The sequence below is a fragment of the Homo sapiens genome, chromosome 21 (genome assembly GCF_000001405.40).
Source record: "Homo sapiens chromosome 21, GRCh38.p14 Primary Assembly".
Taxonomy (NCBI): domain Eukaryota; kingdom Metazoa; phylum Chordata; class Mammalia; order Primates; family Hominidae; genus Homo; species Homo sapiens.
The window spans coordinates 37410232-37432461 of record NC_000021.9 but is presented as its reverse complement, the minus strand read 5'-3'; the positions used below and the strand labels follow the sequence as shown (position 1 = coordinate 37432461).

Genomic DNA, 22230 nt, shown 5'->3' with positions numbered 1-22230 from the left:
CACAGTTTTGCTGGACATCTTTCATAAAAACGTTAAGCCAAGTAGATATTTCTATTCTCTAACCTAAGGGCAATCCTGCTTCTTTTTTGTCCCCTACTTCTCATTAAGACTGTTTATAAAGCTAGAAGATAAACTGGTATTTAAATCTGGATTACAGACATAAATTTTTAACTACTGGACTATTGGACTATTCTTTACTCTTCTGAATCAACTAACTCACATTTGGGTAACAGTGCCATCCTCTTCCTCCCTCCCTTTCCCAGAACAAAAAAAAAGGCTCCTAGAACCTTATGAAAATTCAGTAGTATATGACAGTATACTGTCATATACTAAATATACTTTTGCTCCCTCATTTAGGTATCATGAAAACATAAAAGTTGACTTAAGATTTTATTCAGCTAAAAGTTATAATAGTATATTGTCAAAACAAAAAGATTCTTGCAAATTAACTTTAGGGTTTAAAAACTGGTTTTTGTACTGTACTTATCCAGACAACAAAATAGTACAGTAAGTGTCACCTTTCTTAGCAACTTCATCTATACAAACTACATAAAGTATTTTTGTATCAATTTCTTGCAAATTAACTTTAGGGTTTAAAAACTGGTTTTTGTACTGTACTTATCAAGACAACAAAATAGTACAGTAAGTGTCATCTTTCTTAAGCAACTACATCTATACAAACTACATAAAGTATTTTTGTATCAATTTCTACGTCATATGAAAACAAGCAGACTTAAGTTTAGGGGGTATAGCTGGTCTAACTTTTTAAAAAAATGAACATTATGAAAACTTCCCTTTCAAGAACCTTGGTGGGAAGCTACTGCAAGGGGTAAGTAGTCATCCTCAAAGCAGCTGAAGCCCAGGTGACAAGGAAAGGCCCTGTGCCTGCTCACAGGAGGTAATGGGTAAAACATGTGGAACAAGGTCAAGGACAGAAGAAACAGTGCTTCCAAACACCCGGTCGAAACCCAAAGTCACAAAAGGCAGGGAGTGAAGTACAGGTGCTGACTTTCAATAGAGCCTCATCTCCAATGGGCAACTTCGCAGCTCACTAAAGCTAGGCATTGCAGGAAATGTTTACAAAGGCCAGGAAGGCCACCCAGCTCTTAAAACATACTACCAGAATTCATTGGTAAAAAGAGAACCAAGGATAGCTACAATTCAAGTGTGACTGAAAACAATCCTTTAAAACTAACAGCAAGCGAAGGAGCCAACAGCCACCCCAGCAGCTCAGTTTTCCCAAGCTGGGAAGGAGGGTGCTTCTAACAAGAAAATCTAGAACACTGGATAGAGTAAACATATTGTTCTTATCCTCTATATTCCTCTATATCATCCATAGAAACAAGCAGTGAAAGATCACTAAATAAAATAAAGCATGGGATGGAGACATACCAGTGAACCAAAGATTTTGTCAGTTTTCTGCAAGAAAAGGCAACTGGGATAATACCAATAATTTAAGGAATGTCAAAAAGATCTAGGAACCAGAGCAGAAGTGGCAGATGCCATTCTGGGTGGTAAAGAAAAACTGGAGTAGAAAGAAGGGGAGAGACTGGCTTGATACTAAACAACTATCTGCCGCATGATCAGCCTCCGCCAGTGGCTCTAAAGAAATACCTACTCCAGTGAACCTACTGAGTCCCAGCCGCTCAAACACAAGTGAACAGTCACCCCAAGGGTGAGGCCAAAGAAATGCCTGTGAGGATACCAAGCCACCTGCACCAGGACTAGACACGCCAAAACCACAAGTTCAAACTGCTTAATGAGGCCTCCTCAACCTGGCAAGCAGAGAAAGAGAATCTTCCTGCCAGGGCTCACACTCGCTAAATAAACTGAAGCCTGCCTGTCAGTCCACATGCCTCACCCACAAACACCAAGTCTGCACTCAGTCCTGTCACTTAGGAGAGAGGCAAAATGATGACAGAGGACTCTGGCTCTTGAGTTGGGCAACAAGGGTTCCCAGGTATTTGCGCGGTGCATGGAACAAAGGTGAAAGTAAAAACTATCCTAGTGCAAGTTGAACACATATCATAGAATTAAATCATCTTTTAAAATGTACCAGACCTCAATCCAGTGGTAACATTTCTCCTATGACTGGAACGACCTCAGTGACACAGTATCACATCTCCCTCTCCATGAGTCTTAATACACTATGTTCTTCCAGTATAGTTCTCTGTTTTCAATATTCAGAAGATTCTAAGACAAAAATAAAGGATTCAATTAAGTGAAAGAAAGATGTGTAAGTGAACATACCTATATACAAGCTGGAAGTAACTGGTGGGTAACAGCTGTGAGGTAAAAAGAAATATAAAGGGCTCTAAAGCTCTCATTTCAAATCTTGAGAAATCAAGAGAAACTGTCTAAAACTGATGGCCAAGAATGAGGTTTAAGTTAGTTTTATAAAATTTTAATAATAATCAACAGAAAAACTTTAAAAGAGGATCGGGAGAAACTGGATGGAAAAGAGGTAGCACTGAGAGCTATCTGGTTTCATTTTTCAATAGTTTTTTAAAATACTAAAACACAGCTACAAACATACTAATGTATTAAAAATCATGGAGGCAACCAAGAGAAGAATTTTAAAACGGAAAATAGTAAAAGGGGTTACCCCTGTAAGTGGAAACGAGGAAAAGGAAAACTGACATTTCGTTCTTTTACTTCCAGAATGGATTAAATTTTATTAACATAAGCATGTAAATTGACTGATTAATGCTTAAAAGAACAAGTCTGAATTTAACAATATCGGCTAAGCATGGTGATTATGTTTTGGATATGTGTCCCCACACAAATCTCACGTCAAGCTGTAATTCTCAATGTTGGAGGAGAGGCCTCTTGAAAGGTGATTGGATCACAGGGGCACACCTCCCCCTTGCTATTCTCACGATGGTGAGTACGTTCTCGCGAGATCTGGTTGTCTAGAAGTGTGTAGCACTCCCACTTCTCTCTTTTCCTCCTGCTGGGGCTATGTAAGACATGCCTGCTTCCCCTTCACTCTCTACCATGACTCTAAGTTTCCTGAGGCCTCCCTAGCCATGCTTCATGTATAACCTGTGGAACCGTGTACCAATTAAAACTCTTTTCTTCATAAATGACCCAGTCTTAGGTTTCCTTTATAGCAGTGCAAGAACAGACTAATACAAATGGCCTGAAGAATACTACTACCACCAGTAGGAGAGGAAAGAGCTGGCTGCAACCAGTAGGTTACAAAAACAGCAAGCACTCAACAATGGTTTTTAAGCTTTGGTAACCTTCTACAAAGCAGACCTGGATTTGCGTTAACAACATAAATATTTACATCTCGGTATCTTTTTGAGTATCTGATTCCATGGAGTATATTTTGTGGATGGTTTATAAAAATTAAAATTAACTTATTTGTGTTTCTCTCTAATGTATATCCATTAGCAATATGGATCTCTACACTTTTTTAAAAGACTAAGGAATACAGAGGCCAAACTAAGAAGGCACCATTAAGTAGCCTGGTATTCACCACCAGAGAGAAGAGGAGAAAGAGTGCTTAAAGAAAAGTAAAATCTTGGTCGGGCACGGTGGCTCATACCTGTAATCCCAGCACTTTGGGAGCCCAAGGCAGCAGGATAACCTGAGGTCAGGAATTCGAGAAAAGTAAAATCTTAAATTTCACCTTTTGAGGAGATGATCTACACTATCCAAATCTTAAGCAATGATAACTTTTTATATCAAATAGTTTTAGTTTTCCTATCAAAGAATCTTCTTACACTAAGCCAAAATTTATTCAAAACTTTTTAAACAATGGCCAAATCTATAATTTTCTAAAAATACAAAAAACAAATCCCATCAAATTATTCCTAGAGTGAAATTATTTCATTTCACTTTGAATCTACAATTCAAATCATTATCAATAAATACATTCTTCACAACTCCTATTTGCTTGTTTAAGAACACATGTTCCTTTTAAAAGCAGTGATTACATCTAAAAAACTTTCCAGAAGAGCTAATACAGATAAGCTTACTGTGCCTGATAAAAACCAAAGAGTAACTCATTTATGAAGCCCTGGGAATCCCTTTAAAAGGAGATACATATTACACTACATAAAAGGTCATCACCATCAACAGACTGCTGATGGGTTCATTCTCATTTGTTCAACACATAGATTTGAGAATCTGTTATGTTTGAGGCATTACACTAATAAATAAAACTTAGTTCTCCCATACAAAAAGTTAAAGCTCTTGTATAAAACGACACCATGAACAAAAGGCAAATGCAAACTGGAAAATGTACCAGCAATAAGTAACAGTAAGTATCCCTAAAATCAAAAGCATGATCATTAAGAGGAGGGACTCACAGGCCCTGAATTTGCTCCCCAGCTCCATCCCTTACTAGCTGTGTGACCTGGGGCAGGCTACCGAACCTCTGTCTGGGTCAATCACAGTACCTGTACCAGAGTTATCATTAGGAGTAAATAAGTTAATACCTGTAAATAATTTAGAATAGTCATTGGCATCTAGTAAGGGTTCAATGAGAAACTTTGGTAAATTAAGAAAAAAAATTAAAACCCCAAAGAAATATCAACAAAGAATGATAAAAGGAAACTCACAAAAAACATGAGTAACAAACCCCCCAAAAAACATACTCGGTCTAATATTCAAGCAAATGTAAATGTAAATATTGAGTTATGTTTTGTCTATTGAATTGGCAAACATTTTAAAATACCTAGGATCCTAGGGTGCAGAAAAATTCTGATGTGCAGCTGGTAGAAGCATAAACTGTACTTTAAAAAGGTATTTGAAAATAATGTATCAAAAGGCTTTAAAATGTACATATGCTTCACCTTAACAATTCCAACTTCTAGGAATTGAACCTAAGGCAATAAATAAAAAACAAACAAAAAACACGATAATAGTATCCACTTAAACATTGTTCATGAACTAATTAGCAAAAATGGGGAACCGTTAAACATTAACTAATTCGCAGAATACTGATTAGTCATTTAAAACAGTACTATAGAAGAATATTGATGCTGGAGAATGTTTAAATTTTAAAAGCACACTAAAAAGTGACTAAAGGCCAAGACGGTGACTCACACCTGTAATCCCAGCACTTTGGGAGGTTAAGGCGGAAGAATCACTTAAGGCTGGTCTTCAGCAGTTCAAAACCAGCCTAGGGAACACAGCAAGACCACATCTCTACAGAAATAAAAATAAAGAAGTTAGCCAGGTGTGGCAGCACGTGCCTGCAGTCCTAGCTACTTGGGAGGCTGAGGCAGGAGGATAGCTTTAGCCCAGGAGTTCAAGGCTGCAGTGAGCCATGCTTATGCCACATGGCATTCCAGCTTAGGCAACACAGCAAGACTCTCTTAAAAAAAATCTGCAAAGCAAATTTCAACAAATTTTCTTGAGTTATATTGTTAGTATCTGTTAAGTTTCATTGCTTTAGTTCTTCTTCAGAGCCTCCTGTTATTTGTATGTTGAAACTTCCTTGCCTGTCTTTAGTAACTGTCGCTTTCTCTGGAATGCTTCATTTTTCTTCATTTCTTCTTGGTTATTCATCTCTTTTTTTTTTTTTTTTAGAACCGAGTCTCGCTCTTTAGCCCAAGCTGGAGTCCAGTGGCGCTATCTCGGCTCACTGCAAGCTCCGCCTCCCAGGTTCATGCCATTCTCCTGCCTAAGCCTCCCAAGTAGCTGGGACTAAAGGTGCCCGCCACCAAACCTGGCTTATTTTTTTTTTTTTTTTGTATTTTTAGTAGAGACGGGGTTTCACCATGTTAGCCAGGATGGTCTCGATCTCCTGACCTCGTGATCTGCCCGCCTCGGCCTCCCAAAGTGCTGAGATTACAGGCGTGAGCCACCACACCCGGCTGGTTATTCATCTTAAACAGTTTTTTGAGAAATTTTATATTGTGTTTTTCACTCTGTTTAGGTTTCATTTTTTAAATTATCTTTTACTTCTCTTTCCTGGGTTATCACCACTTTTCTGATTTTTCCTTATTCAGATTTACATTGTGCTTTAGTGTTTGTATCATTTTCTAAATTTCTCTGGGATTATTCTGAAACAAGTTATAGTTTCATTTATTTTGTGGACATTTCTTTCTGGCATGCTTTCATTGTCTGCAGTAATAATATTCGGCTCCTTATGCTTTTCTCTTATAAAAACTCTGTGGGGATTTTGACTATGATCCCTGTCCACTGCTCGTTTTTATGTAAAATAAAAAACTTTGGGGAAACTGGAGTAGCTTTTCTGACTTCAATAAGAGTTCTCTTCCCTTTTCATGAAGGATCCCAAAATATAGACTCATGAATAAGATCTCCTGTGCTTTTATCTTCTCCCACTTTCATCTGACATTTTTTCCTTTGCCCTCATTATCTCCATCTTGTTTAATGTGGATTCTATCCCCAGCAGTGTCTCCTTGGTGTAGGGCTTTGACTGGGAATGGAGCTTAAACTGGTTTTGAGAGTTCATGGGGACCACATGACTCTAACCCCCCTTCAGAACTTATTGTGTCCTCCAGGGAACTCAAAACTATCTCCAGTTCCAGCTGCTCTTCTCAAACATAATTTCCGCAAGTCTCTCACTGCAGTGAGTCTCCTCTGTTGGTTATCTTAGGGTTCTCCTATTCTCAGGTCCATCAGACACCCTCATGCCTCCTTCTGCACAAATGCTGATACCACACAGGTCTTGCTATCAACATTCACTCTCACCTACTTACTTGTATGTGAGTCAGTGGGGATACTGTTCACCTAGTCTTGCAGATGCTGAATGTGACGTTTTGGTTTTGCTGAGCTAGTTACTCTGTCTCTTCTAGAGGAAAATGGGAAAATTTTAAAACTATGTTCTGTTGTCATCTTCCTAGAACTTAGACATTCTTTCAAGGTACACTTAATAAGTATACCTAAAATCCAAAATCATGAATATAAATGTATTTTCTTTTACCTGGGTCTTAAATAGACACACTAAGGTAAAAAATTCAATTTTACAATGTGGCTTACCTCAGATTTCCCATCATTTTTTCTATAAATATCAAATGCTTTTTCATATGACACATACATAATGTAATCATTATTAATTGCTTCCACTTAGAAACATAAATAAAACTATGAAACATAAAAAGCAATGGAAAATAATAAGAAACTCTTAAAACCACTTGAAGAAATGTATTAAAGCAAGCATTAATATACTTATTTTTAGGCATTAAAAATGCCATTAGGATGCCAAAAATTATTCTTTTTGCATTTGCTGAGCACTTCCTGTGTCCCAGAAATCCTGCCAGACAGTCACAGGGCACACAAAGAGGATAAGCCTTAACCCCCTGACCTTCAGGAACTATCGGACTAGCTGGACATAAAACTGGTAAACAACATGTGCAAATGCCATAAACGTATTAAACAAAAACTACTCGCTAGAAAGACAGACTCCAAACTATTAGGAAAAGGGGAGTGGCTGTCTCTTTTTACTTTATGCATTTCTAAAGCACTTATATTTCCTCCACCAAGTATACAATACTACTTCATTTGTTCCAAAATAAGAGATTCTTCTTTTTGCCTGTTGAAGATTTATTTTAACTATAATACTCAATGCTGAGAAAAATAAATTAAGAGACATTCTTGTAATGTACAGAGTGGTACATATTACCAAACAGCTTTCTGAAAAGTTGCATCAAGAGCCTGAAAATTTTTCAAACATTATGACTCCTAGGAATCAATTATAAGAAAATAATTTTACAGCCAAATACTATGCACAGGTATTAGTGCTTTAAAAAACAACTTAATGCCTAAAAATAAGAGATACCTAACTTAACTAGGAAATAAGCATACTGTAAAATAAATATCTAAAGTAATTATCTTCAAAAGCATTCTGAGTACCCTGGATTTGCTCCAAGTTCAAAGTAACAGCAAATCACTATGGTTAGCTTTTGATGATGTAGGGCAACATTTATGATATGTTAGTCAACACGAGTATAAAATGGATCTTACCCAACCACATCATCCTGAATATTCAAAATGACCTCAATTAGTTAAAAAAATGGCATGAAAAACAACTGGAAGGGAATGTGCCACACTGTAGGGGACACTAAAACTTGGGATATGTTTCCTTATACTTATCTATATATATTTATACATTTCAGAATTCTTTCAGTGATTTTGTATCATCTAATAAACAAAAAGTAAAAACATGAGTGCAAAAGCAAATCCACTATCTTTTTAACTTACTAGAAAAATAAATTTATTGAATCAGTAAGAAAAAAGTCAAACTGCTTGGGTTGAGACATGAACGAAAGCTAGAGAAGGAGACACAGACAAAGAAAAAGATCAGACACACACGACCACGACAACAATTCCAAGGGGAGGCAAACTGGTGACAGCTTCCTAAATATTACAATCTACATGCCCTTTCATTCTCCTAGTGTACCCCACATATGATGGGATTTTAAAAGTTGGGGTTTTGTAATTTACAGATCTGATTTCTAACTCTTGTATAATGAATACACCCCATTTGTGATCACTGGAAATATGAAAATTTTGTCCTACAAAATTCACATTTTAAAATGAGTTAAGAGAATCCAAAATTAAAACTCTGCCACAAACGGTTTTAAGTACTTAAATTCATATATATGAGTATATATATAGTGTATGCATAAGAATTATGACATAGACAATATGAACAAATCAGCACATTTAAAAATAAATTTCCATGTTTATTCATCCTCAAAAAGTGATAGCTCTGTATGCTTTGGAACTATTCCACATTTAAAAGTGACTAGTATATCACTATTGTTTAAAAAATTTTAGTTGTTAAAGAAGTTCATTTCAACAAAACAAAGAATGGCAGCCCCTTCTATTTCCAACATGATTTTCCCAAATCATGGTCCACAGGATGTTATTAATAGGTATAAATCAAAAATAAAAGGGAGGGGAGGTCCCTTAATCAAATAAACTGAAGAAATGCTGGTTTACACAGGTTTCTTTATATAAAAGTCTTTATGTTCATATACATGGTAATCTCTGAGGCAGTACTTTTTCCAAATCTAATCTGAGAAGTCATTCTACACCTTAAATAAACTGAATTTGGTTACTTGTGATTCAAAAGGGCAAAGAGTGGTTGCTAGGTTCCCCAAATGATGTTGTGTTAGGGTAGAATGGTGTCACTCATTACTAAGAGGACTGAATGGGGGAGGAGGAGGGAATATGCGGGAGAGGCATCCAGAAAGCAGTTACCTGAGTGTGGAGCTCGGAAGAGAAGAATGGGATGCAGAGATTTTGGTAACCTCTGCCTACAGGTAAAGCCATTACTGTCAATGTCATTACCCAGACAGTGCTCTCTACTTTCTCTCTGCATGCCTTGAATTCAATAGGTGAGTCTTAAAACTTTATCAAAAACCTCCACTGCCTCATTTATTTGTTATCCATAAGCTCAGGGATCCTTGTATGCAGAGCAGCACCTATAATAGTACCTGGTACAAAGCAAATGCTCACCAAATAAATGTTTGTTAACAAATCATTTGTTCTTCCAAAAATCAAAAGAAAATCCAAATGTACTTCATTCATGTTCTAACTGTATTTTAAAACATGCAAAAAGATTCTCAAATTAAGTAAGTACAGGAACACCTATAGATACATGAACTAAATACATCAAAGTCTGACTTTGGCCTAGTGTTCAGTAAAACTATTTTTTTCTCTCCTCCCACCAGCTTTATTGAGTTATAACTGGAAAATAAAAATTGTGTATATATTAAGGTGTAAAACATGATGTTTTGATACACATATACAAAATGAAATGATCACCACAATCAAGCCAATTAACATATTCATCACCTCACAAAGTTACTCTGAAAACCTACTCTTAAGTGTTCACTTCTGAAAGGCCCATCAGCCAAGGCCTACTTCAGTGTCCTTTCCAGCATCCCTGAACCTGTGCCTCATCAAGGAAAAGATGAGAGTAAGTTACCACATCTAACCAACAGAACAAAGCCAGTACCATGAACAATGCCAGAGGGTAAAAACAAGGCCCAGAGAAAGCAGACCACTTGCTTTCAAATGTCAGGAAGCATTCTCTAGAAACAACTTTCGGTGAACATCTACTCATTAGTTTTAATGTGTTGAAATTCTATCAGTCGAATAAATGTGTGCATAGTAATACAAGACCAAACTGCTACATTAATTAATGATGATTCTGAAAGCTGTTAATTTTATGTTCAAAAACAATTGTTAACTTTCAAACTATTAGAAAGGGAATACACCAACAGCTAATATATTTATTAGACAGCTAGATCTTCTTTCCTGGGTTTTTTCCTCTGTAAGCCAATAAATGCTGACAATTTTTAAAGAATACAAGGCTGAATAAGAGATTGGATTTTATCATAAATCTAATCTGTAGAATTTTCTTGTGTTCTAGCATTCATAAAATTAACTAGATAACTATAAACTGTATTTACTCATTAGTTATTTCATTCCATTGAGACCATAAGCCTTTCAAGAAAAAGAGCTATTTGGAAACCCTCCATGTCTTGTGAGGATAAATAGAAACTTTGTAACTCCAAAATTTCACGAGAGAAAATCTCCAAAATCAGTAATATTCATAGATAAATCTATGAGATACCCCAAAAATACTTTGTTCCTCTACTGACCTCAGTCGAAAGTGAGCATCTACTTGGTATAGCCAATGTGCAGTATAGCGCCCAAGGAGCAATCCAGGAGCTGACAATGCTGAGAAATAGTTCCTGCACCAAAAGGTCAAACTTATAAAATCTGACAACAAAAAAATGTGCATAAAATTCTAAAAATGTTTCTGTAAATATGCCTATTTGTTTTTCTATGATGGTGATATTCAGCTTCAGCATCACGTTGCTTTTAACAATCAGCGAGCAACTCAGCCAGAATGTGTACCTGGCATACTTCTAATATGTACAGGCAAACATACATGTGCAAGCCTGTGTGCATGCATGATAGATGCGTAACAGAGATGATTGCTCAATCACCTTTGACGTAAACAAGAATTAACATCGGTCTTAAAATGGTGACTTCTACATGAACGTGAAGTATTATATACTCTCTAATTTAATTTATAAATATATTCAAGCACATTTCTTCATACAAAATAGTACACCGAAACAATTTTTTAAAATCTTAAAATCATAAAATGATGATTTTTCCCCTAGACAAAACCCAGATCGCCAAAAATAAAAACCAATCACAAAAACTACACCAATGATATAATTAGGCATCTGTTAGGTATCAATTCAAAATTTATATAAATATTTCTTTTCCAGTTAGCAATCACATTTTCAAACAGTTTATAAATATAATCAAATAAGGCTCTCTGACAGAGTTTCAAATGTTAAGTCACTTAGTTCAACAAAATGCCTTATAATATGCCTAATTTAAGAACATTTAAGTTCAAAAGTTATTAACACTTTATACATTAGCTGCACTACATTTTCAGAAATTTGAACATAGCCATGTGTGGAATAGCCTCCAGTTTCCCATGTAAAAGATCACCTCAATTAATTATAGAGCAATCAAAAAATATTCTTTCAAAAATGCCTTCACACTGCTTCTTCTGTATAAAAATACAAATGACAAAAGGATAAGAGGGGGAGGGTGGGAAGAAAGGAAATGGGAGGCAGGGATATTGGGAACAAGGAAAAAATAAACAAAATCCCAGAGCATATCTTTTTAAGAAACCGTATGTATGGGTATAATATCCTTAACTTGTCAGTCTTTTTGATGATATCCTACTAACATCTACTCCCATAAAAGATCTGCCATATTCTAATAGAGTTCTGGGGGAGACATGCATTCAACCATAAAGGTGACTGTGTTATTTACATTAACAGAATTATTCCAATTCCCACCAAAATATTAGCTCTTGAAAAGCCTAAGTGCTAGCATTTACTATGCTGTATTTGTAATAACACCACTATAAATCACTGATTATCAATCTGAGTTCAAAAGTAAGTTTAACAAATAGCCCAACTACCTTTGCATTTACTGATCTACAATTCCCCCCACTAACTGCTATTTATCAGAAACCTCCCCCATTCAAAATAGACCATCGATTCCCACATTCTCTTAGCCAGAGTTTTACTGTATTTCAAAACTTGAGTCACCTGTATGCATCGTCTTCTTTCAAGTCTCATATCATCCTGATGGGGTGGGGGAAGGGAGGGAAGAGTCCAGCGGCAAAACTATAACACTGTGTGAAGAAAAACAGATTATGATAAGAGATAATGATGCAAGACAATTACCCCAACTGAGGAATATCTAACATAACTACAATCCCAAAACATAAAGAATAAAATTACTTCAAATTTGCAAAATTCATTTTCTAACATTCAAACTTAAATTTTCCTTAGTCTTCAATAATCAAAATCAACTATATATAAAATATATTCAATTGTCAGAGAAAAAAAAAACAGTTTCAAAATGTGCCTATTACCACGGAAAATTTCAGGTATTTTCTAGGTATCAAATAAACCTGAATATTCCACCATTTACTTTATCTGGGGAAAAAACTCCACATTTTGTAATTTTCATCAGTTCACAAATCAAGAGGAACACGAATTCACTTTCATAGTAGTTTACTATTAAGACAGAGGTAAAGTTACTTTATAGGAAAGACAACATGTCAATCTACCAATGTTATTTGTAAATTAAGTTCTGAGACATTTCTCACAACCGCTCCCCCAAGTCCACAAGCCCTCTTGCTCTCCAAGTGGTTTCTCTTATTTTATTGTAATTCTTTTACAGTACTTCCTACTTATTGCTTCCACTGATAACTCATGGTTGACCAGAAAAATTCATAATGACTTACAGGAAAATGAAAGTAATCTCAGTGTTGTCAACTGATAATCAGCAGAAGAGGTAAAGACAAGTACAAGCTAAAATCTAACTTCTAAAGGAGTTGAGTGAAAACTTTATGTTTTAAATTGATACTATCGAATTTAATTCAAGGAATATTTTAAATAGAACAATGTTGCATATGTTGGCCAAGTTCCTAGGTCAGCCTCATGAAAACTACTGACTCCAAGAGATGTTCCTGGTCAAGGGCACTGGGGCCGCTGCAGAAGAAATACCAAAACTTCTTCAATTCTACATCCTCCAGACAAATTCTAAAATAAGCTGTTTTCCTTTGTTAGCACCCTCTCAATTCCCAATGCCTCCAATTCCTAAATTTCACATGATGTCATCCCAATCATCCTGCTTAATAATCCTTTTCCCTAAGTTGTTTTACACTCCTAAATTACTATACAAAGCTCCTATTGCCTCAGTATAGTTCATTTCAGGTAAGAGAAAGAAAGAAACCAACTGGACTAAAATAATTCACACTAAGATTTGCAATTTCCAACAACCATTATAGTTTGCCCAAATAAATCTCTTATTGGTAGAATTCCAAGTGGTGCTACAAGTGGGTCATAATATAGATTTGAGTCTATACTTATTGCCTCAAAATATTTCTGCTTTTCATTTATTTCTCCTTATACTTTTGAACTCCCAGGTTCTTTAAAAGCTCCAACTTTGTACTCCAAATAGCAGCAATACTAAACACTTCACTGGAAAAGAACCTCAGAGACAATATGAGTTATTTTTAAATTAGGAATTGTCTCTGAAATCTTTGCCTATATTCCAGATTCCATTCCTGAAGAACTACCATTCCAATTCAAATGCCTGTTACGGTATTACATTAAACACTAGACCTACAACTAGCTGGTATCATATTGTGGGGGGTGTATGACTAGATGGATGAACACTAGAGTGCTGCATCAGAATAGTTTTATTTGTAAAAATAATTGAATCAAGATTATCTTTACTCAAAGGACATCATTTTCTAATAATTTTTCCCCTAAAATGGTCAGTCTTTAAAATTATGACATGAACTATGGGGAAAGAAAACATAAATTCAATCTCTAGCTATGAACTATATAATCAAATCCTTTAGGCTCTCAACATCATATTCTTCACCCAGAAAATGTTACAATGCTACTTACACCTCGCCAGTTTCGATAGAAGTAGATATTACTGACACAAAAGTTCTTTGTAAGACAGTAGAATCAATTATCAGTATTCTTTATTAAAAATTGTTAGAAATTAGATTTCATTACTATTTTAAAAATCTAAAGGTAAGACACATCAAAATTTCTGACACCTTTTTGAAACATTATCCATTAATCATTACTCATATGAAAGGCCACCTAAAGTATCTCTGAGTTACATAATTTTCTGCTGACTTATACAGCAACCAAACCATCATATGCTAAGTAACAATAAACTCCAGAAATCTTCACCTTGGATTACTTTAAATAAGGACTCTAGTGATTATTCCATATATCCTTCCTTCAGGCTAGCCACTTTTCAAAAACAAAAATGTTAATACAAGGTCAGAGTTTTTATATGACAATAAGCAGATAATTCCACACACCAAATGTGCTTTGCAGATAAGCTACAGATACGATTTTCTTCTTAAAGAAGCTTAAAAATCTAGACAGTCATATTTTCATTTTTTTGAGAAAAATATAGAGTATATTTTTCATCATCTGCCCCACAAATGGAGCCATTCACAAACTATGGAGTAACAATCAAATGCTAATGACAAACATCTCTCTTTACCACAGGAACCTCTCATGACCCTCAAATCTTCTACAGTATGTTCTAGCTCAGTTTGCCAAAGGCAATGTGAAGGTCTACGAACAATCCAGGAACCGAGCTTACATGGTTTTTTGAAGTTAAACTTACAAACCATTTTTTTTAGTTGTCTTAAAATCACTGCATAAAATTAATCTACAGCGTATCTTCAGGGACAGGACAGTTTCCACAGGCTGTTAAACACACGGTATGCTCAGATAGGTACTGAGCTTAGTCTCTTGGTGTCTGTATTCCACAGGCAGGGGTTGGGGAGAAATCAAGTCACCTAATAAAAAGCACTGATACACCAAGATTTGTAAAAAAAAAAAAAAAAAAAAAAAAAGAAAAAGAAAAAGAAAAAGAAAAGAAAAATAAAAAATACAAGGCCGGGAGCAGTGGCTCTGTAATCCCAGCACTTTGGGAGGCCGAGGTGGGCGTATCACCTGAGGTTGGGAGTTCAAGACCAGCCTGATCAACATGGAGAAACCCCATCTCCACTAAAAATACAAAAAAAATTAGCTGGGCGTGGTGGCGCATCCCTGTAATCCCAGCTACTCAGGAGGCTGAGGCAGAAGAATTGCTTGAAATCAGGAGGCGGAGGCTGCAGTGAACCGAGATCATGCCATTGCACTCCAGCCTGGGCAACAAGAGGGAAACTCTGTCTCCAAAAATATATATATATACACTAATAAACAGAGATCCAGAATGTAAGACTGGGACTGAAATGAATGCATCAGCATGACAGGCAAGTTCAGACTAACCCAGGAGCTAATAAACTAAATGGCAGGTGCAATATGTTCTCTAATGTGACAGTGTTTTGTAATGACACCAAACTAAAAATTATATCTAATTTCAAAATAACTAAAGTAGTATGAAGTATTACAAGTAGCAGATGAAAAAAAATCAGTATGATACAAGGAGCTTCAAAAGTACTAGTTAAGTACTACCTCATTTCTTAAGCTGGAAGAAAATACCAAGTTGTTTTTTATTACTTCATTTTATATGTTATATAAATGCTCGCATATTTCACAATTTACAAAATTTAGCCCATATGAAAAGATAAAATACAGTGCACACTGGGATCTAAAAAGATAACTCAGAAGATGCCCATTAAAAATAAGCAACAACAGAAAAGCTACAAAACAGAAATCAAGAAAAACTAGATCTAAAATTAGATTACATAAATTAAACTTATGTCATTATCTAAAATTTATACAGTTAACTAACATTCTCTTATAAACTTTGGCTCATTTACACTAACGAATTAAAGAAGTGACAGAAGAAAGTACTTTTTCCATATAGCAATTTTAGAAATAATTTTCTAGAATTATAATAGCCAAAGGAGTCAAAGGGAAAATAGAAGTATCACAGTTTTGATGCCTAACACACAAGAAAAAAAATCTCTTATTTCCAATAAGATGATCAAGCAGCATTACAGAGAAAAAGCAGTTATATAGGAGGATTTCAAGTGAAATCCTAAAAACCCAGAACATTTATCACTCCCCTCAAAACCCTAGAAAACAGTCACAGTCTTTAAAAAAAAAAAAAAAAAAAAGGCCAAAACACAAGACTTTATAAAGAATATAATATTGCACCAAAATGGTTAGTAAAACTACAGGGAAATGAACATTTGTGGAACACTTACTATCTATGTGCCAACCACTTGGCTAAGGCATTTTATAGACGTTGACACATTTGACCTCCTGACAGCCCTACGAGTAGGTAGTGTTACTTCCATTTCATCAACAGGGAAAGCAAGGGTCAGAAGGATTAACTGGCCTAAGGTCACAGTTTGTGAACTATGGTCCCACATTAAAGTTCACTATGCCAAGATGCCACTCATTAAGAATCACTGAAATAGTTGTGAGAAAATACAGAGATGCAAGAACCCCCAAGTGTCTAAGTCTGATTTTAGCCCCTATATGCACTACTCTGCATCAACCACCCTAAACATGAAAAAACAAGAGCTCATTAGCAGTAATTACTTGAAAAAGGCATTTAATTTAGAACAGAATACTAAATTTCCCCAAAAGTTCATCTAGTAGAAAAATTTTGATTCCAGCATATAACAGATTGCTATATTTTCCCTTTACCAAAAACATTTTAGGCCAGGCACAGCAGCTCATGCCTGTAATCCCAGAACTTTGGGAGGCAGAGGGAGGTAGATCGCTTGAGACCAGGAGTTGGAGACCAGCCTGGGCAACATGGCAAAACCCCATCTCTACCCCAAAAAATAAAAAACTTGGTTGGGTGTGGTGGTGCAGCCTGTAGTCCCAGCTAATAAGGAGGCTAACGTGGGAGGATCACCTGATTCCAGGAAGTCAAGGCTGCAGTGAGCCCTGATCATGCCACTGCACTCCAGCCTGGGCAACAGGGTGAGATCCTGTCTCAAAAAGAAAAAAAACATATATATATTAAAGGAGACAAACTGAAAGGAAGGTAAAAACCAATAGCAGATGAGTCAATTTTGCATTAAAACCTTGGTCAAGGTCAAAGAACATGTGGGATTATAAACATGGGTGCTGGATTATACTACTCCAATGGCATTTTGGAAGTGGAATAGCTGAAATTTGTGTTAAAGAGGCTAGAAGCATGTGCTTTCTCATGCAATTATGTGAAAAGAACTAGGGAGAAGGTTTAAGAACTAAAAGCTGAGCAGATTAAATGAGTTTTGCCCCAAATTTTGGCTATCTCAACCATCAACTCAGTATCTCTGAGAGCACATCTGGGCCTGAAAGACAAAATCAGGCACTGAGTATTTGGACGTACCAACAAATAGAGGAAAACAGGAGGGAAATGCCTCATATGCACATTACCTGCAACAATACATAATGCACTGACACATCATTTCTAAAACTGAAGGGGAGAAACAGAAGTTTCTGGGGGTAAGTTATCATCAGTAATTGTAAAGTAGTAGTACAGGTACTCTGTTACTAACTCAAAATATGTAAACTACCACTGATATTCTATTTTGCTTGCTGTCCTCTGTCTTCCTTTAGAATGTGAAAACATTTACAATGATTTGCACAGGTTTGTATGACCTTCAAGTCTATCAACTGTTTATCTATTCTCTTGTGAATAGATATTCTCAAAAATGAATTCTCAAACCACAGAGCTTTTCGGGAACCTAACTCCCACTACTAGAAAGTGACTGGTCTATCAAGTAGACACTAGAAAGCACCCCTATCACATGCAGACCTAGGTTCCAAAGGCTCATTTCTAAGACAGTTGGTTAAAAGTCTACATTAAGAACTCCTTTAGTATGTAGTATGTAAAGCCAACTTTTATAAGGCGGGCTTGTTCCAGGCCCAGAAGACCTCAGTGAACTGAGCTCGAAAGTCCCAGTTATGTTTCACTGCATGAGATGACTTATCTTTAATGGGCCCTGGTATAAATTTTCTACTTTAAACCACTAAACCCCATAATTACAAAAAGTAAGTACCACTATCATTCCCATTGTCCAGGTGAGAAAACTAAGGCACAGAGAGGTGAAGTGAAACCATCCCAAATCACACACGACTAATGGTAGAGAGATATTCAAATCCAAGCAAACTGACTACTAAGCCACTGCTTTTGGCCATATTAAACTGAATCTACCATTTCCCCTACTCAAAAAGGGAGGAAAAACAGAGAAAAAATCCACTTCTCCTTTCTGTATTCTCAGTCTTGGGTAACGGGTGTCACCATCAGCCCAATCTCCCAAGGGCAAAAACTGTATTACCTTTGCACCAACCTAATAAAATTCCACCACCCAAAATTTGGTGTTGGAATCTCTGCTCCTTAAATATATGTATATATACATATATATCTTTATATCAACAATTTATATTTGCATCATCATTTTACCAGGTGCACAGTACTCCACTGCAAAGACGTAAATGCATTTTAAGCAAACACCTATTGAGGGTATGTGGCTTGTTTCTAATTTTCACTAGCATGAATTTTAAATCTTAGAGCCTGCTTCTTCCCCTCTGCTAACAGGAACTAAGAGCAAAGTGGTATGAAGAAAACACCAAGAGCCATGAAGACAAGTCCTTTAACTGATATGCTTGCTTAAGGATGTTCTTTTATGTCACCTACACAAAATGTACTCAAAATTTCTATTATTCAAATCAATTCTAGATCTTAAGAGGAACTTAGAAGAGGTGGCCCAATGACGCTCTAGGTGCTCTGGGAATCAAAGCTGAGATCCAGCGCTTAGTGCTATCTATTGTAACGTTTCCCTCACTAACCTGAACATCTAGGGTAATCTCATTTATGTATATATTCCCTAACAAAGGAGTATCTATCAGACAGAAGACATTTAGAAAGAATATGTTCAATCAGTAACCTGCAAGCCCTTCTCATAACTAGCTTATAAGAAATGCACTGGAAAACTGCCTTGCTCTCTCTCCCTTCTGACAGCACCAACTTTTCCACACAGGATGTTCTATAATACAATATATACACACATATATAATTTATATATAAAATGTAAATATATAATTGATTTGCATGAGTGCATGCATACATATACTTAGTTGGTTATATGTACTTTTATACGTATGTAATTATATATCATTTTATAAACCATTGCCTTTAAATAATCCTTGCATCTCAGAAACACAGAAAAATAACAAGGCCCAGAAATAATCAAAAACACACACTGCATGAATAGCTTACATTTTCTTCCAATGAGTCTATTACTAAAAGCAGTAAAGTGAGTTCAGTTTTACTTACTTCCCCTCCCACACTTCTGTGGAGTTTACAGAGAAATGCTACCCCCTTAAAAATTCTTAAAATGTATGTTCTTGTATTTCACAACACTAGCTATCCTCCAAATAATCCATGTCTCTTTCACATTTAGCCCTAACCTCAGATGTGACCTCTGGTTCTATCCCCTGACCGCTTCACTCATTTCTCTATACATCTTTCCCTGCAAAAGAAGTATTTTCAATGGTTTACTCCAAACTAATACTTCAAACTCTCTTCTCCACTCAAACTTTTCACTCAATATCTAGTCTAACAAGCTGTTGGGTGGCTGCCTACAGTGCCACATCCCTGCCTCCATTCTCTATGCCTACAACTCCTCATCACATTCCTGCACCACATGTTATCCACTTGAACTTCCCATCTCTATTCCCGCACCACCATTCTTTCAGTAATTTCATTAGAAGCTGCTGACTTTATCTAAATGGTCTTACTAAATCCTATCCATTTTCGAAGTGCCTCATGCCTTTCCATTCCTCTCCATGCTCACTTTAGTCACCTGAACCAAGTCCTTAATTCACCTTAAGTATTACAAATGCTTCCTAGAATTAACTATCTCCTAGGCCTGATGGTTATGTCATAAACTCTAGGGCAGGTTCCCTAAACTACATCAGACTCTACTCCCAAAAATCCTGATTCAGGAAGCCTGGACAAGGACCTAAGAATATGTGTTTTGTTTTAACAAGATGTTACAGATGAATCCTGGACCCAGCGAAGTTTGGGAACTACTGTGCTTAAAAAGCTGTATCCGCTGCCCTAATTTATTTTGCATAAAGCTGCTACACATACTTTTCTGAGACACAGAACTTTCAACCTGGATTTAACCCCTCTATAATTTAGAAACGTATGATCTTATCTTATTCCTCTGAACTCACAGTTCAATGTGACATTCCATAAAGTGCATTTAAGCCCCTTCTGCATTAGTGTTTATTTCTTCTACCTGAAATTTGCCCCTTCTTGCCTATCCATTTTCAAGATCACCTCAATTTGCCTTCATCCACTTTAAAGTCACTCCAGCCTCTCCTCTTAACTTGCATTTATCTCCTGCTATATTCTGTTAATTATTTATGTTATATACTCACTCCAGTGGTATTATCTACTACTTGGTGAAAAGTACCACTAGATCTCGTATTTCTGTATCGCAGTACATGTTCAATAAACAGATTGGCACAGCGGAATACAATGAAAATATTGCTTCATGTAGAAAAAGTGGGTTGTAAAGCAATATGCAGATAACATGATTGTATTTGTTTTTCAAAAAGAGAATAGTAGTTATGTGCAGGAAAAAAACTGGTGGATTACATACAAAATGCAAATAATAGTTATCTCAGAAGAGAGAAACTGCAGGGAATTGTCATTCTTATCTGTATTCTCTAAATTTTCTAAAATGAATGTGTATTTTGTGATGAAATTAAAACTTAAACCTTAAAATTGTTACCCTGGAATTTTCTCAACCAATAGACATTCTATAAAAATGACTGGCACACTACCATGTCAGTAGTCACACTGTCACAATCCTAATACATATGACATTTGTTAATGTCAACATTTCTACACCTGTACTTCAAATTCCATTGGCCTCACTAAACTGAATATACAATTTCTGGGACTTCATTCACAGACTTGCCAAATCAATTATACATGAGCATGCTATTACTCTACCTGCATTATAGGTGGGGTTTTCTTGTTTTGGTTTGTCCTTTCAGTCAAAACTACAAACCTTCATGTAGTATAACTGTCATTTTTTGGGGGGGAGGGGGTTGGGGGGGAGACAGAGTCTCACTATGTCACTCAGGCTGGAGTGCAATGGCGTGATCTCAGCTCACTGCAACCTCCGCCTCCTGGGTTCAAGCATTTCTCCTGCCTCAGCCGCCTGAGTAGCTGGGATTATATGCACACACCATCACGCCTGGCTAATTTTTTGTATTTTTAGTAGAGACAGGGTTTCACCATGTTGGTCAGCTGGTCTCGAACTCCTGACCTCATGATCTACCCACCTCGGCCTCCCAAAATGCTGGGATTACAGGTGTGAGCCACCACGCCTGGGCTTTTTTTTTTTTTTTTTTTTTTTTTTAAAGACAGAATCTCACTCTGTCGCCCAGGCTGGAGTGCAGTGGCACAATCTCAGCTCGCTAAAACTTCCGCCTCTCAGGCTCAAGCAATTCTCATGCCTCGGCATCCCTAGTAACTGGGATTACAAGTGGGCGCCACCATGCCCAGATAATTTTTTCTATTTTTAGTAGAGACAGAGTTTCACTGTGATAGTCAGGTTGGTCCCGAACTCTTGTCCTCAAGTGATCTGCCCACTGTGACCTCCCAGAGTACTGAGATTACAGGCGTGAGCCACAGTGCCCAGCCAACTGTCTTCTATTTTCTGTGTAAGTCCAGGAGACGTGCAATAGGTGAGAAAACTGGAATTAACATCAAAATGAGCCGAGTATGGTGGCACTTACCTGTAATCCCAGCTACTGGGGAGGCTGAGGTGGGAAGACTGCTTAAGCCCAGGAATCTGAGACTGTAGTGACCACCTATGATCGTGCCACTGCACTTCAGCCTGGGTGACAAAGTGAAAGTGTCTCTAAGTAAATAAATAAATCTTGGGAATAAAGTTCTAGAAATACCTGTAAGACACCATCTTAACCCCTCCTCTCCTTAAGGAGAATAAAATCCTAAATATAATGAAAACTCATCCATTTCAAAGAATTGTCATGATAAACTATTTCAATAGCTTCCAATCCCTAGTCATAAATTATCTCCTAAATTCCTCTATACCAACTTAAGTTCACACTGTTTTTTGCTACATTCTGAAGAAACAGAAAATACCTATACACAGCCTACAAAACACTCTTCATATGCACAAAGACTTATTCCTCAGCTTCTTCTCCAACTGAA

General features: G+C 36.5%; 1 protein-coding gene across 7 annotated transcripts in view; it reads right to left on the bottom strand.

The window, feature by feature from the left end:
• DYRK1A (dual specificity tyrosine phosphorylation regulated kinase 1A) overlaps positions 1-22230 on the bottom strand; it is a 160786-nt gene that overhangs the window by 93897 nt on the left and 44659 nt on the right. For 4 of the 7 annotated variants that reach the window (NM_001396.5, NM_001347722.2, NM_001347721.2 and 1 more), the window contains one exon: positions 12078-12163. The exons of 1 other annotated variant lie outside the window; for it this stretch is intronic. In NM_001396.5, coding sequence (NP_001387.2) covers positions 12078-12087 — 10 coding nt within the window. In that variant the 5' untranslated portion in view covers positions 12088-12163. Of the gene's footprint in view, positions 1-12077; positions 13558-21791; positions 21893-22230 lie in introns of those variants that run through there. 2 more of the 7 variants (NM_101395.2, NM_130436.2) reach the window with 2 other exon arrangements.